We start from the raw sequence: 15,289 nt of genomic DNA, 5'->3' as shown, positions 1-15,289 counted from the left end.
AACTACCATTTGATCCAGCAATCCCATTACTGGGTATACACCCAAAAGAATATATATCATTCTACCACAAAGGCACATGCACACATATGTTCACTGCAGCACTATTATCAATAGCAAAGTCACGGAATCAATCTAAATGCCCATCAATGACAGGTTAAAGAAAATGTGGTACACACACACACGCGCACACACACACACACACACACATATATATATATATATATATATATATACATATATACCATGGAATACTACACAGCCATAAAAAAGAATGAGATTATGCCCTTTGTGGGAAGATGGATGGAGCTGGAGGTCGTTATCCTTAGCAAACTAACGCAGAAATAGAAAAACAAATACTGCATGTTTTCACTTACAAGTGGGAGCTAAATGATGAGAACTCATGAACGCAGAGGGGAACAACAGACACTGGAGCCTACTTGAGAGTGGAGGGTGGGAGAAGGGAGAAGATTGGAAAAAAATAACTATTGGGTACTAGGCTTAGTACCTGGGTGACAAAATAATCTGTATAACAAACTCCCATGACATGAGTTTACCTAGGTAACAAACCTGCACATGTACCCCTGAACTTAAAATAAAAGTTAAAAAAACAAACAAGAGTTAAGCTGCCTCTCATTGTGGAAAAAGTTGTGCCCACCCTCTGTTCTACCCACAGTTCACATGGCTCATCTGTTTGGGGGTTCAGGTTACTTACCTCACACTCAAGTAGAAGCAAAGCTTTGTACATAGATAGCTTATCAACCAGACATTTAAAACAAACAAACAAGTAAACAACCAAAAAAAAACCTTTCACCATTCAGGCCTGTTAGTCAAACAAGGAAAATTCTTGTGGATTTCTGGTTGGCAGCCTATAACCTGGGAAAAGATTAAGACTATAAAGATGCCCTGTATCCGTTATCATATTATTATTCAACAATGAAATGATCTAGAAATGGGGCATAAAGGGTGTTGGCTTTTCCTACTCTTTCAGTTCTTGTTATTTTCCCCTATTCTTTCATATTTGTTAAAAACCAAAAGCAGCCCCACCCAAAGAGTACATAGTGAATTGCTGCTTACTCAAGACAGCTCCTGGCTGAGAGTTGAACTGAGGTTAAAGGATGCAAAAAAGGCAAAACAAACAAAAACCTGAAAGCACAATTTCAAATTTGTCAAGGTAAAATTCACATGGAGTTGCCCAAATTAAATAAGCCTCATTTACATTTCAGTAGGGCATGAAATGTCTGGTATAATCTGTAGAAGACAGGCGTAGAGTTTTATTTTGGAAAAAATTCCATCGTCCATTTTTTCGCCACTCGCATTTCTCCTGCTTTGCTTTTGAAGTTTCTCATTAACTCAGTCTCAGTACCAAACACAGCAGTATCTCAAAGGGTCAGTGATATTTTAAACAAACCTGGGAATGCTGAGGGTTAGGAACACCATTCAAAAGATGTGTAATTTCTACCAGGAAATGGATCTGTCGTCATTTTTGTCTAACAGATGCTGAAAATGAAAATAACAAATTTAAAAGAGAATTTGCAAGCAGGAAAAATATGAAGAGTGAGAAGAACTAAAAAACACTTCAAATGGGACATTAAAAGATGATCATTTATTTAATTTTATTTAACAAAGACAAGAATTCTAAAAGTTGAATATTTTCAACATATTTCCTTGTGGGAGAATGGCTGAAAACATCAAGGGCACAGGAGGATAGACTTTATCTCTTACTATGATTAACTGCACAAGGGCTAGTCATTAAGCCATTCTTATCCCAGTTGCCAAATTCATAGCCAGTAATACCCATAGGTCAGGTGACAGGCTGATATTTCCCTTAAACTGAGTGCTACTCCCTATTATGCCATGATTTTCCTTAGTGACAATGGGACATTTAAACTCTCTGGACCCCCCTTTTGTTTTTTTGAGACAGGGTCTTGTTTTGTCACTCAGGCTAGAGTGCAGTGGCCCCATCACAACTCAATGCACCCTCCACCTCCCAACCTCGATCAATCCTCCCACCTCAGCTTCCCACGTAGCTGGAACTGCAGGTGCACACCACCATGCCCGGCTAGTTTTTTGTATTTTTTGTAGAGATGGGGTTTCACCACGTTGCCCAGGCTAGTCTGGAACTCCTGGGCTCAAGCAATCCTCCCACCTCAGCCTCCCAAAGTGCTGAGATTACAGGCATGAGCCACCGTGCCCAGCGTGGATCCATTTTTTAAATCTCCAACAAACAATGGCTTTCTACTGTGTGCCTGGCTCTGATCTAGACATGGAAGAGACAAAGGTGGGTTAGATAAGGTCTAATTCAAGGAATGCCACTCTAAAGGAAAGAAAAATTATAAACAAGAAAACATAGTAGGCTGTACAGAAGATAAGCAGGTGATTTGATAGAAGCTTCTAGAGGTGGGGAAGAGGCAAGTGGTAATTTTATAAAATCAGGTAATCAGGAAAGCCCTCTCTGAGAAGGTGACCTATAAGTTGAGATCTGAAGAAGAAAGAGTGAGCTATGGAAAGAGGCAAGTGAAAAACTGAAGAACACTGAAGACCAGCAGAACAGCATGAGCAAAAGTCCCAAGGTGGGAAATAGCTTGGCATGCTGGGCATAGAAAAATGGCCAGTGGGGCTGCCTTTCTGATCACACCAGAGGTCTGGGATTTATTCAAGGTAATGAGAAGCCACTGGGGTTCCACTAAAGTGAACTACTTTTCTCAATAAATTAAGCTTAGCCTTTTTAGGTACTAAACTTTAAACCATTTTTCAATGGGAGTTTCTTTCACATTACAGTAGTCTCCCCTCATAACAAGAGACACCTCCCAAGACGCCAGTAGATGCCTGAAACCTCAGATAGTACTAAACCCTGTATCTGCTGTTTGATCTGATAACCTAGATGGCTACTAGGTGACTAATGGATAGACAGCACTGGACAAAGGGATGATTCACGCTCTGGGCGATTTCATCATGCTACTCAGAATGATGTGCAATTAAAAACTTATGAATTGTTTATTTCTGGAATTTTTCATTTAATATTTTGGGACTGCAGTGAACTGCAGCTAATTTAATAGGTAACTATGGAAAGTGAATCCATCGATGAGAGAGAACTGCTTATAGATTTTCTGCTCTTAGACTGAGTACATAGAACTTAACTTCTTTTGTCAATTTAGGCTCATGATTACTATTTGGTGCTCTGTCATCAGGGGAAGGACAGAAGTATGTAAACCCAGATCACTGTGCTTTTATAGTATACTTTCTTCTGCTGCTGCTACCAGCAAACACTTCTTGCTGTATCAGGTTGTCCTAGCTGTCTTACTTGGATGAGACAGCTTCAGCTATGGCCATGAGGCCATGACTCTGTCTTTTCTATTCAACCAAGCACATGGGGTTTGTGATAGTCATTGCTGCCTAGAGGCCATTTCTATTACTGGGCCCTTGGAATACAAAAACAGACCAATCCCATATAGTTGCCTTTTCCCACCTTTATTTCCAGGTTCACAACAGTGTCACACATGGTAGGGTTTGTCCAAAGTTTGGCCACCAGACTTGTCAGATGTGGCTGGCAGAATTCTAAAAATAGCTCCCCTGAGGTTTCCCTCCTGTGGTTATTCAATCAAACACTAATCTAGGTACTACTGTGAAGGGGTTTTGCAGATACAATTAAAGTCCCAAGTCAGTAGACCTTAAAATACAGAGATATCCAGATGGGCTTAATTGAATCACATGAGCTCTTTAAAAGCAGGAAGTTTTCTCTGGCTGGTAGCAAAAGAAGTCAGAGTGATGTGAAGCATAGGGTGGATTCAACATGCTGGCCTTGGCTTGAACATGGAGGAGCCTCAAGAGGAGGAACATGGCGCTGCCTCCAGAGGCTGGGAGGGGGTCCTGGCTGACAGCCAGCAAGGATCTGTGGACTCAAGTCCTACAACCACAAGAAACCCAATCTGCCAATCACAGGCATGTGTTTGGAAAAGGGCCCCAAGTCCAGGTGAAAGCACAGCTAACCAACACCTTGATTTCTAGCCTGAGCAGAGGACACACACACAGCATGCCAGATTTCTGAGCTTCAGAACTATGAGCTCATAAATGGAGGTTGTTTTAAGCTAATCATTTTGTGGTGGCTGGTTACACTGACAGAAAACTAATATACTTGGTGAAGTGAGTGTCTAGTAAGTTTGACAAAGAATGATAAAATAAATGAATGTGCTTTTGTTCTATCATCTGTACAAATGTCCACATAATAGCATGACATAATGGAGCATAAAATTAAGGGCCAGCAGCTCTGGGTTCAGACTGTGCTACCAGCCACTTGTGTGACTCACAAAAATGAATTTTCTTTCTCTGGGCCTTTTTTCTATAAATGAGAGAAGTGCTCAAAATGACTATTAAGGTCTTCTCAAGCTCTGATAGTCTCTAAGTTTAATAATTCCTTATTACATTAGAAAACAACTAAAAACAAATATGCACATTTTCCTCTATATATTTTCCTTTCTTTTTTTTTTTCTTTTTTTTTTTTTTTAAGAGACAGCGTCTCACTGTGTCATCCAAGCTGGTCTCAAACTCCTGGCTTCAAGTGATCCTCTGGCCCTGGCCTCCCAAAGCTCTGGGATTATAGGTATGAGCCACTGCACCCGGCCTATGTTGAATTTGCTAATGACACTCATTTTTCCCAGCTAATTAGCATACCTGTATCTCAAGGTCACAATAGTTAAGGAAGGCTGCTGAAAAAGGAATCTACTTATACTGTTTTGTTTTTCAAGACAGGGTCTTGCTCTGTAGCTCAGGCTGGAGTGCAGTGGTGCGATCACAGTTCACTGTAGCCTCAACCTCCTGGGCTCAAGCCATCTCCTGCTTCAGCCTCCCAAGTAGCTAGCACTACAGGCACATGCCACCACAACCAGCTAATTTGTTTTATATTTTGTAAAGACGGGGTCTACTTATGTTGCCCAGGCTGGTCTCAAACTCCAAGACTCAAGCAATCCCCCTGCCTTGGCCTCCCAAAGTGTCAGGATTACAAGCATGAGCCACTATGCCTGGCCAGAATCTGCTTATACTAATCTTAAATATATTCAACATATGATTGGTGCATTTATCTTTAGCTCTGGTTACAATACCACCTCAGAGGCTTTTCGATCTTGAAATTAACTAAATATTTAGGCATTTTACATAGATCATCTTTGCATAAAAGCTGAGTTAACATAATCCTAAAACTTGTTTAAAACACAATCTGGGTGCCAAACCAGGGGGAGGAGAAATGGGGGGAAGGGAAATGGTTTATCTAAACACATGACTTAAAGCCCAAAAAATGCTCCCTGACAAAAATGACCATATAGGTTTGGGGGCCTCTGTTCAAATTTTTCATATCTGTCCTTTCAGTTTTTTCAAATGTTATTTCAAATGTGTTCAAGTTATGTTAAAGTTGCATGCCATTCTTAACTGAAACATTATGAAACAAAAATCTCTCTAGAAAAACTATCTGCAGCATCTCTCAAAGGCTTATGCCCAGTTCAAGTACGTTTGCAGATTGAGAACCTGAGCATGTGCAAAACGCAATGCGTGAAAGTGGGAAGAACTGGAAGGGGTAAGAGAGAAAAAGAGAGAGCGCTGTTTGCAGTGTTTTGATAGGCAGAAGTTTTCCTTGCCATTCAACTGCTAAATTCTCTGTACTTAAGCTGAACTCTGGGTCATGGCAGAGAGTGCAGGAGCACTTTCTATAAAAAGCAGTGTGCACTGCAATGCGAGAAGAGGCTTCCTGGCACACGGTAGCAGAGAATAAAAACAGTGCAGCATGGAAATCTAGATCAAACTACGTAAGAGACTCTCCATAGGGAGGAGGATCTAGAAATCTGTATCAAACCTACTGTCTATTATGCACATGTAGTGTATAGGAAGGAAGGTCTTATTACCAATGGTACAAAGACGAGCCACAAAGTGAATCCCCTAACATGAGGACCAATATCTTATGGTCCAATGATGGTCTTGGAGGGAAGGCAGAGAGCTAAATGGAACTTTATTTTGAAAAATAACATAATAATCAAAATAAGGTAACCTTATATTTACGTAAGATTTATGTTCTTATTTCAACTGTGTACGAAATCACAAAGACTAAGTGCTGATGAGAGATACAATTTTTTCTACAAGATTTTATGATAATGCTGTAAGATAGCCTTTAAGTTTGGCTTTATTACAGCACTATCAAAAAGATTATCATTCTTGCAAAAGCAATTGAGAGCCTCATCAATTTTCCCCAAATCCATCCTCATTCTTTTGATTCAAATCACTCTTTTCAAGTGCCCATCAAGTCATCAACTCCTGTGTTTTCTCTTCATTAAGTGTTCTAATATGCCAGCTCCTCCTTTGTCTATGACAACGTACACAATTCAAGAGGTCTTGATATGGTTTGGCTGTATCTCCACCCAAATCTCAACTTGAATTGTATGTCCCAAAATTCTCACGTGTTGTGGGAGGGACCCAGGGGGAGATAATTGAATCACGAGGGCCGGTATTTCCCATCTTATTCTTATGATAGTAAGTCTCATGAGATCTGATGGGTTTATCAGGGGTTTCTGCGTTTGCTTCCTCCTCATTCTCTCTTGCCACCACCATGTAAGAAGTGCCTTTCACCCTCCGCCATAATTGTGAGGCCTTCCCCAGCCAAGTGGAACTGTAAATCCAATTAAACCTCTTTCTTTTGTAAATTGCCCAGTCTCAACTATGTCTTTATCAGCAGTGTAAAAATGGACTAATACAAGTCTCCAATACCATGTTCATAGACTTCATAAAGTCACAGATGTCTTGAATGATTTACAATTTCTGTTTGCCCTGCTTTTTTATTTTGTTTTGTTTTGTTTGAGACAGGCTCTCTGTCACCCAGGCTGGAATGGAGTGGTGCAATCATAGCTCGCTGCAGCCTCGAACTCCTGGGTTCAAGCAATCCTCCCGCCTCAGCTTCCCGAGTAGCTGGGACTACAGGCATGGACCACCACACTTGGCTAATTTTTAAAATTTTTAGTAGAGACCAGTTCTTGCTGTGTTGTCCAGTCTGGTCTTGAATTTCTGGGCTCAAGTGATCCTCCCATCTCAGCCTCACAAAGTGCTGGGATTACAGGCATGAGCCACTGTGCCTGGCATGCTTCTGATTATTTATCTGTCATTCAGAGACAGACCAGGACACAGACAAGATGTCCTAAAATAAATCAAAGTATCAAGCAGGGAGGGCTATTTGAGCTGTGATTAATTTTATTAGTGATCAGTCATCAGTTAATATTTTTGATTAATCATAACTTCAGGGACTCAGATAATGAAAACATAGATAAACAAGGATGCCTTGGCCCACAATTATGCTTAATACCAATGCCTGGTTTCATTACACAATATGGCTTTGAATATTCTCAGATAATTCCCTGTTGTCTTTAAGAGTCCCAAGTAAAAGAAGCCCTCCAGAGATTGTTCTAAAGAAATACCAGGCTGGCTGGACTCCACTCACTGCTGCAGCCAAGATTCTGGCATTCTGAGGGAGTAAAGCCAAGTAAGCATAAAGCTTCACAAGGATTCACTCTGAGAGTGCAACATGGAGACAGCATGAGATGCATGGAGACAGCATGAGATGCACCCTGGCCAAAGAGGCCACAACAAGACTAACATCTGGAACCGATCATTTGTCTATTTCCATTTTCCCTATTAAAGGCCTAAATAACTTTTTGGTATTAATAATCTAAACAAGGTTCCTGATAGAAAACAGCACAAATTTCTTCCTCAGTCATTTCTTGGAGAGCTTTCCAACAGTGTCAAATAAGGACATGCTCTTCTACAATGATTGAGGCGGGAGGTTTGTGATATGGGTAGATTCAGAGGATCCATAAATCCCCATAAGTGTTGTGCCAAATTTCTTAGAGAGTCCACAGTATTCACTGGATTTTTGAAGGGGTCTCTGATAATACCATTCCTATCAAAAACTTCCTGTGTACATAATTTTCCTATTCAGTCCTCTAGGCCCATCACAGCACATCACCAGGAATTTCTATGTACCATATTTCCTCGTTTCTCAAACACCTCTTTTTCTGCAATCAGAATGCATCTTCTTTGTTTTGTTTTGTGGGGCTTTAAAAAAAAATTTTTTTTTTGAGACAGGGTCTCACTCTGTCGCCCAGTCTGGAGAGCAGTGGTAATGATCATGGCCCCCTGCAGCCTCAACCTCTCGAACTCAAGCAATCCTCCCACCTCAGCCTCTGGAGTAGCTGAGAGTAAGGCACATGCCAACACACCAAACTTGTATGTGTGTGTGTGCAGAGATGGGGGGTGTGTGTGTGTGTGTGTGTGTGTGTGTGTAGACAGGTCTCACTATGTTGAACTGCTGGGCTCAAGTGATCCTCCTGCCTCAGCCTCCCAAACTGTTGGGATTACAGGCGTGAGCCACTGAACCCAGCCCAGAATGCATTTTATAATCCTTCTTTATCTTTAATGAGATGTTTCCCTCTTGCTCCTCAAAAGTGATTATTAAATTGATGATAAACCTTTGAATTAATGACATTTAAGCAGTGCAGGAACTGGCCCTACACCAAATATCTCAGTAAAAGGTATACTGCACATTCCTAAACAAAGAAAAACCCTTAGACAGATACTGCAGTGTCTCCATAAGGACAAAGGGCTAGATCTAGTCAGCTGGGCATCAGAACACCTGAAACACATCTGAGTTGACGTCATATCACCACTGGACACTAGTCAAGTTTCATATGCTTATACAACATGTACTGCATGCTACTGTGTGCCAGATAATATGCCACCTGAAAATGTTACTGATCTGGGTGAGGGAACTGGCAAGATCCCCAGAGGGGAGGGTGTAGAGATGCTGGATGAGAAGCCAGGGAGTGTGGACTAACAAGGAACCTGAGTGTTCTTAAGAGACACAGAAAACAAAGCTGGAGAGAAAACAGGACCAACTGAATGACTCCAGAAGAGTTGAGGTTGCGTGGGAAGTGTAATTCATCAACTTGTTAGAAACCATATTTATTTATAACACAGAGTACAGGTAGCCTTGGGAATTTTCAATTATAAGAATAAAGGGACTCTACGAGAAGCCAAAGGGGTAGATGTAGGCTCAGATAAAATTCTGACCACGGGAGCAGAGAAAGCAAGCATAACCTGATGTGGGCTCTGCATTGAGTGAACATTACAAAAAATTCTCAGGAAAATCCCATATATGGGGCCTAACATTCTTATATTTCATGGAAAGAATGAGATAAACAGATCTTGATGATTGCCTAGTGGTATTTAACAACAGCCCCCAAAGTCTGGGTGCCCCTTCCCAGAGATGGGCTGTGGGGTTAGAACGCATAATATTTGTACAGCTCTCGCTTAAAAACGCCTTTGCTCAGACAGCATACTTGCGTGCCATATATCATGTATTTTAAAATGGGGAAACTTGTCCCTTGGTGGTCCAAAGGAGACAAGAAAATTATGATCAGATACCAACAGAGACCCAAGTCTGAAGAGTGTGGTTCTAGCACCCCACCCCAAATGGACGATGTCAACCAAGGTTCTGTGGGAAGTCCTCTTTAGTGCCAAACTGAGACAGCTCTGTGCCCCTATCTCAGGCAGATGGTGGAGAGACCTACCTTCAGGCAGAGGTAATACCAAGTCACTACATCTAAAAGAAAACAGGGGACACGGTAAAATTCTTTTGGTTGGTCTCTTGTCAGTTGGCACTCCATAAGTTTTACCTCACTAAATTAAAAAAGAATAAAAGGACAGTCTTGTCCATACAGGACAGGCTGCCTTAATTTTGGCAAGTCCCAAAATAGTGAACCAGCGTAACAGGCAGTGTTCTCCAGGGTCAGGACTTGAAGAGCCTATTAGAAAGGAAGAAGGTGGTGAAACAAGCAGGTGCTTGAACTAGACTGTTGAAAGCTACAAACCCAGGAGAAATGGACTCCAGCTACGATGGACCACATCTGTATATATCTAGTGCTCAAAGACTTTTTGCATGAAAGTTTTAAAAATGAAAAGTTTTTCAGTTTAAGATAACTAACCACTGCACCGTACAGGGCTAGAAAAAGGTACACGAGAAGGAAAAAGGGAACTATTTACGGCATAAGTGCAGGTGACCAATCTGTTTGCTTGTTGACTCTCTCAGCACCTATAGAGTGGCTGGTACAGAGTTTATACCCAATAAATATTCACTGAATTAAATTTCAGAGGCTCAAAATTTTGAAGAGCAGCTCACCTTCCCTTGTATGTCAAGAATGAGAGCGGTAGTGGGAATCCAGTGAGGACAATCCTGGTTGGTGTGGGCGTTCATTTTGTCAAGCTAAACCACAGAACAACTTACATGGACTAGCTAGTGCAAGGTGTTATAAGTTATATCCTCTCCATGACATTGTGGCTACAATCATCTTAACACAAAAAAGCACAGTTGGGGCCGGGTGCTGTGACTCATGCCTGTAATCCCAGCACTTTGGGAGGCCAAGGTGGGAGGATCACAAGGTCAGGAGTTCAAGACCATCCTGGCCAAGATGGTGAAACCCCATCTCTACTAAAAATACAAAAAAATTAGCCAGGTGTAGTGGAGGGTGCCTGTAATCCCAGCTACTCAGGAGGCTGAGGCAGAGAATTGCTTGAACCCGGGAGGCGGAGGTTGCAGTGAGCCGAGATGGCACCACTGCACTCCAGCCTGGGTGATAGAGCGAGACTCTGTCAAAAAAGAAAAGATTTTTTAGCTGGGATGCTAAAAAATATATACAGTAACACCCAATTGCCAGTGGTAATGGGATGACTGATCTCCCAAAGAGTAAATATAAGTACCTTTGAATAGCTGAAAAAATGGTCCACAGAACTGTCAGGTCCATTTTTTAAAAATAACTTTGCACTCTTCTATCACCAGTGCCCCAGCACTCCACCCTATCACCTCCACCAAGGTATCAAGGCTTTCCTCTGTTTGCAGACACACTACGGTACATAGGATGTTGAGGGGGAATGAGAAAGTCATCTCTAGGCAAACACCAAAACAGATGAGAGTACCTCTGACTCAGACAACAGAAAAAGAAATAAAACAACACTCCCAGAAGAGAAACCTCCCCAGTTAGAGGCATCTTTCACTGCACTGCCGAATGTTGGCAGCAAAGATGGCATATGACACCCATAAAATGCAGAGACCAAGAAAGAAAAGTCCCTTGCTCTAGTGGGTCGAATGGTGGCCCACAAAAGGACAGGTCCATGTCCTCACCCCCAGAATCTGTGAATGTGACCTTATTTGGAAAAAAAAGTGTAATTAAGGATCTGGAGGTAAGATAATCCTGAATTACCTGAGTGGGCCATAAATCCAATGGCAAATGTCCTTACTAGAGACAGAAGAGCAGCGAAAGAGAAGTGGTCACATGAAGATAGAGGCAGAAACTGAAATGACACAGCCACAAGCCAAGGGATGCATGGAGCAACCAGAAACTGGAAGAGGTGAGGAAGGATTCTTCCCTGGAGGGAACATGGCCCTGCCAACACCTTGGTTCAGGACTTCTGGCCTCCAATACTGAGAGAATACATTTCTGTTATTGTAACCCACCCAGTTGGTGGAAGTTGTGATGGTAACTCTAGGAAACTAATCCACATGCCATACCTCCAACTCAGGTATTCCGCTCGTGGTCTGTTCACCTCCCATCTGGAAGGTGCAGAAAAGCTTTCTGAATGAACAGCCACAGCAGCCTGGGGACTCCCTAAGATAGGGCCCTCCTCTACTCTGAGTGGCCAGGTTGTGGCTGATTATTTAGTCAGAAGATCTGGACTCACATCTCAGAGCTGGAAGGACCCTTAAAGGATGATAAGATCCTCAAGACGGACATACTACCACCCTGACAGTAATCAAGCCCTGAAAGTTAGCTAACTGGCCTAAAGTCTGACTAGATTAGACCCCAGCCCAAATCCCAGACTGATCCTCCTTCTGCTACTCCAAATAATACACAGAGGCACCAGGGCCTAAATAAGCAATAAATATTGGTGCTTCCTCTTTTCTCTTTTTACATTTCCAGCCTTCCTTAAAGGTCCCTAAAACAACTACCATTTTAAGAAAAGGTCTGGCCAGGTATGGTGGCTCATGCCTGTAATCCCAGCACTTTGGGAGGTCGAGGCGGGCGGATCACTTGAGGTCAGAAGTTGGAGATCAGCCTGGCCAACATGGTGAAACCCTATCCCTACTGAAAACACAAAAATTTGCTGGGCGTGGTGGTACATGCCTGTAATCTCAGCTGCTCAGGAGGCTGAAGCAGGAGAATCGCTTGAACCTGGGAGGTGGAGGTTGCAGTGAGCTGAGATCGCACCACTGCACTCCAGCCTGGGCTACAAAGTGAGACTCTGTCTCGGAAAGGGAAGGGGAGGGGGAAGGGGAAGGGGAAGGGAAAGGGAAAGGGAAAGAGAAAGGGAAAGGGAAAGGGAAAGAGAAAGGGAAAGAGGAAGGGAAAGGGAAAGAGGAAGGGAAAGGGAAAGGGAAAGGTCTTATTCTCACTTCTCAAAGATCTACCAACCTAGAATCTACTTCACAGGAAACACACCACAGGAGTAACTTGGTTTGCAAGCAAGATGGGCTCTCTTGACAGATGCTAGCCTTCCATGGGACCCATTCCACATTCCTGAACAGTTTTCTTTATTTCTATAACTCATATAGTCATCTTTGTGTTGTGTATTTACTTGGGAGGGGCCCTCTCTAATCTAAATAGGTATCCATCATAATTCAGCCTAAGATAAGTTTAAAACAAGGGCAGATGCACAGAACTTCTTATGACCTTGAGGTTGACTTTCTGGGTCAATAACTCAAATTGGGTGTCGCTGTAGGAAACATGACATTCTGATAACAATAGTGGAACCAAACAAAAAATAAATGCAGCAAAAAAAGGATCACCTTAAGGATTTCTTGTGTGAACCAGGAATAGAAAAAGAAATGAATAGAGTTGTTTAGGAAAAAGAACATGCAGCATTGATACTACTTCTCTTTCTTGCAAGTACAACTTTTAGAACCTATCCCAAAAACTTAAAAAAAAAAAATCCCACCACTAGTTTAACTGTTAATTGTTGCAGTCACAAAAAGGAAAGTATATACACTAATCAAAATGAAGTAAATATAATCAGTTTTAATCCAACATGGAAACCCCATGATGAGACTGAAGACATCCCTCAAATGCATGTGGGTTCCCTCTCTCTCCGCCTTCAGCTTTCTGCCTGTCCTGCCCCTCCCCATTCACTCCTCCACTACACACACAGACACACACACCCTACCCATACCTAAAAGTTTGTTCTCTCTATAAACTCATCTGTGAAAGAAACAAGGTTGTATTTTATCTCTGGGCAAGATCAAAATGCAGGCAGACATCAGAAAGATGCACTCAGCTGAGACCTTCCAAGGCCCTCTTCAGCTCACAAGTGGGCCCAGGAGAGATAATGTGCCATTACTTTTCTGGATATTAAGAACAAAGCAACCTCCTCCAAATACTTATTCTCATGAAATGACCTGGTCAATAGTTTTCATTTATTGGCAGTAGGCCACAGGGCCCTTTGACAAATTAATAAATGCTATGAACTTTTCTCCTTAGCAAGTCCATATGCCAACACCCTGTATGTCACTGCAGAGGGTTCACAGACATGACCACTATGCCCCTGTCCATATTGATCCATGGATCCTAGAGTGAGAAGCCCTGCTCACCAAATTAGTTGGCTCATTCACATTCCAGCTACCTCCCTCCCACTCTGCCCCTCATACTTGCTCTTTGTGTCTATTTCCTCTGCTTGTACCAATCCTCCTTTGATTCTGATGAATAAATAGACAAAGTCAACTACATGGTAGCTGGAGTTTAGAACATTGTACTGAAAAGTCTTGAGCCAAAGAAAAAATACTGATACCTATCCAAGGAAACAGCCTACCTTCTGGGTAAAATTGATCTGAACTTCCAAACACTGATTCTGATGCATTAATATTGGCCCCAACCAAAGAATAGCAAAAGGACAATACTCATAATGACTGGATTTTAGGGTTAGAGAGATGACGGTGGCAAAAATGAAGGCTTACTGGAACTGGTGAGTGATATGGCTCGGGTCCTGAGCCTGTTCATAGAGAGGAACATATTCATCACTTGGCCTCTGAATCCTTTGCAACAAAAACTGGACGGTAGTGCTCGCTACTATTCTCAACTCTCTCTCTCTCTCTCTCTCTCTCCTCTCTCTCTCCTCTCTCTCTCTCTCTCTCTCTCTCTCTCTCTCTCTCTCTCTCTCTCTCTCTCTCTGGAAATTCAACTATAAAACTTCAGCAGGACATTTCTGTGCTTTCTTCAATTTTTTTTTTTTGAGACGGAGTCTCACTCTTTCACCCAGGCTGGAGTGAAGTGCTGCAGTCTTGGCTCACTGCAACCTCCGCCCCCCAGGTTCAAGCGATTCTCCTGCCTCAGTCTCCCAAGTAGCTAGGATTACAGGCACCCGCCACCATGCCTGGCTAATTTTTGTATTTTTAGTAGAGATGGGATTTCACCATGTTGTCCAGGCTGGTCTCAAACTCCTGACCTCAGGTGATCCATCCGCCTAGGCCTCCCATAGTGCTATGATTATAGGCATGAGTCACCGTACCCGACCTGTTTAATGTACTCTTACCATATGGACACAAAATTAATAAAACTGGCCTGAATTTCAGAATCATGTTTCCCTCCAATTTTAAGTCCTAAGATTTTTAAAGTATTATTATTTTGTTTTCTTGCTTTATATCCCCTTCTAACCTCTGTTTTTAATGTTCTTAAAAAAAAAAAAGAGCTAAGGAAAGTATAGGAATTGTCTCAGGAAATGGAAGGCTGACTAAAATCAATTGTTAACTATCAATAAGTAGCTTCTTCAGCATGGCCACAGGGATGCTGGTGGTCACACTTGCTTTTACAACATGGCAACACAACCACCAGGAACCAGAGCTCTGGGCACAATTATATATTTTTCATAAATTCAAAGAAAGCCAGCAGATGGCAAGAAATTAAAATACATATTATATATATATATATTTAATACACACAAGTACGTATAGTCATATATACTCATATATATATACATATTCACATATGCACACATATTCATATATACACACATGCACACCCATCCTAATTTTACTGCTGGTGCTAGAGACAGTGTTACAAACTTCCCAACCAATTCCTGATCCCTGGGCTCTAATAAGCCTTCTGACCTGAGACTTTCTCTGGTGTGACATTTAGTATATGGTTTCTGCCATATACTAAAAATTACTAAGAAAAGGAAAAGGCATCCTGAATCGCTTGAAAGTGCCACGTCTAAAGTGCCG

General features: G+C 42.0%; 1 protein-coding gene across 39 annotated transcripts in view; it reads right to left on the bottom strand.

The window, feature by feature from the left end:
- ARHGAP26 (Rho GTPase activating protein 26) overlaps positions 1-15,289 on the bottom strand; it is a 458,635-nt gene that overhangs the window by 265,606 nt on the left and 177,740 nt on the right. The window lies entirely within an intron of this gene.

Source organism: Homo sapiens, chromosome 5 (genome assembly GCF_000001405.40).
Source record: "Homo sapiens chromosome 5, GRCh38.p14 Primary Assembly".
Classification (NCBI taxonomy): Eukaryota; Metazoa; Chordata; class Mammalia; order Primates; family Hominidae; genus Homo; species Homo sapiens.
This window is presented reverse-complemented; position numbering and strand designations above follow the sequence as displayed.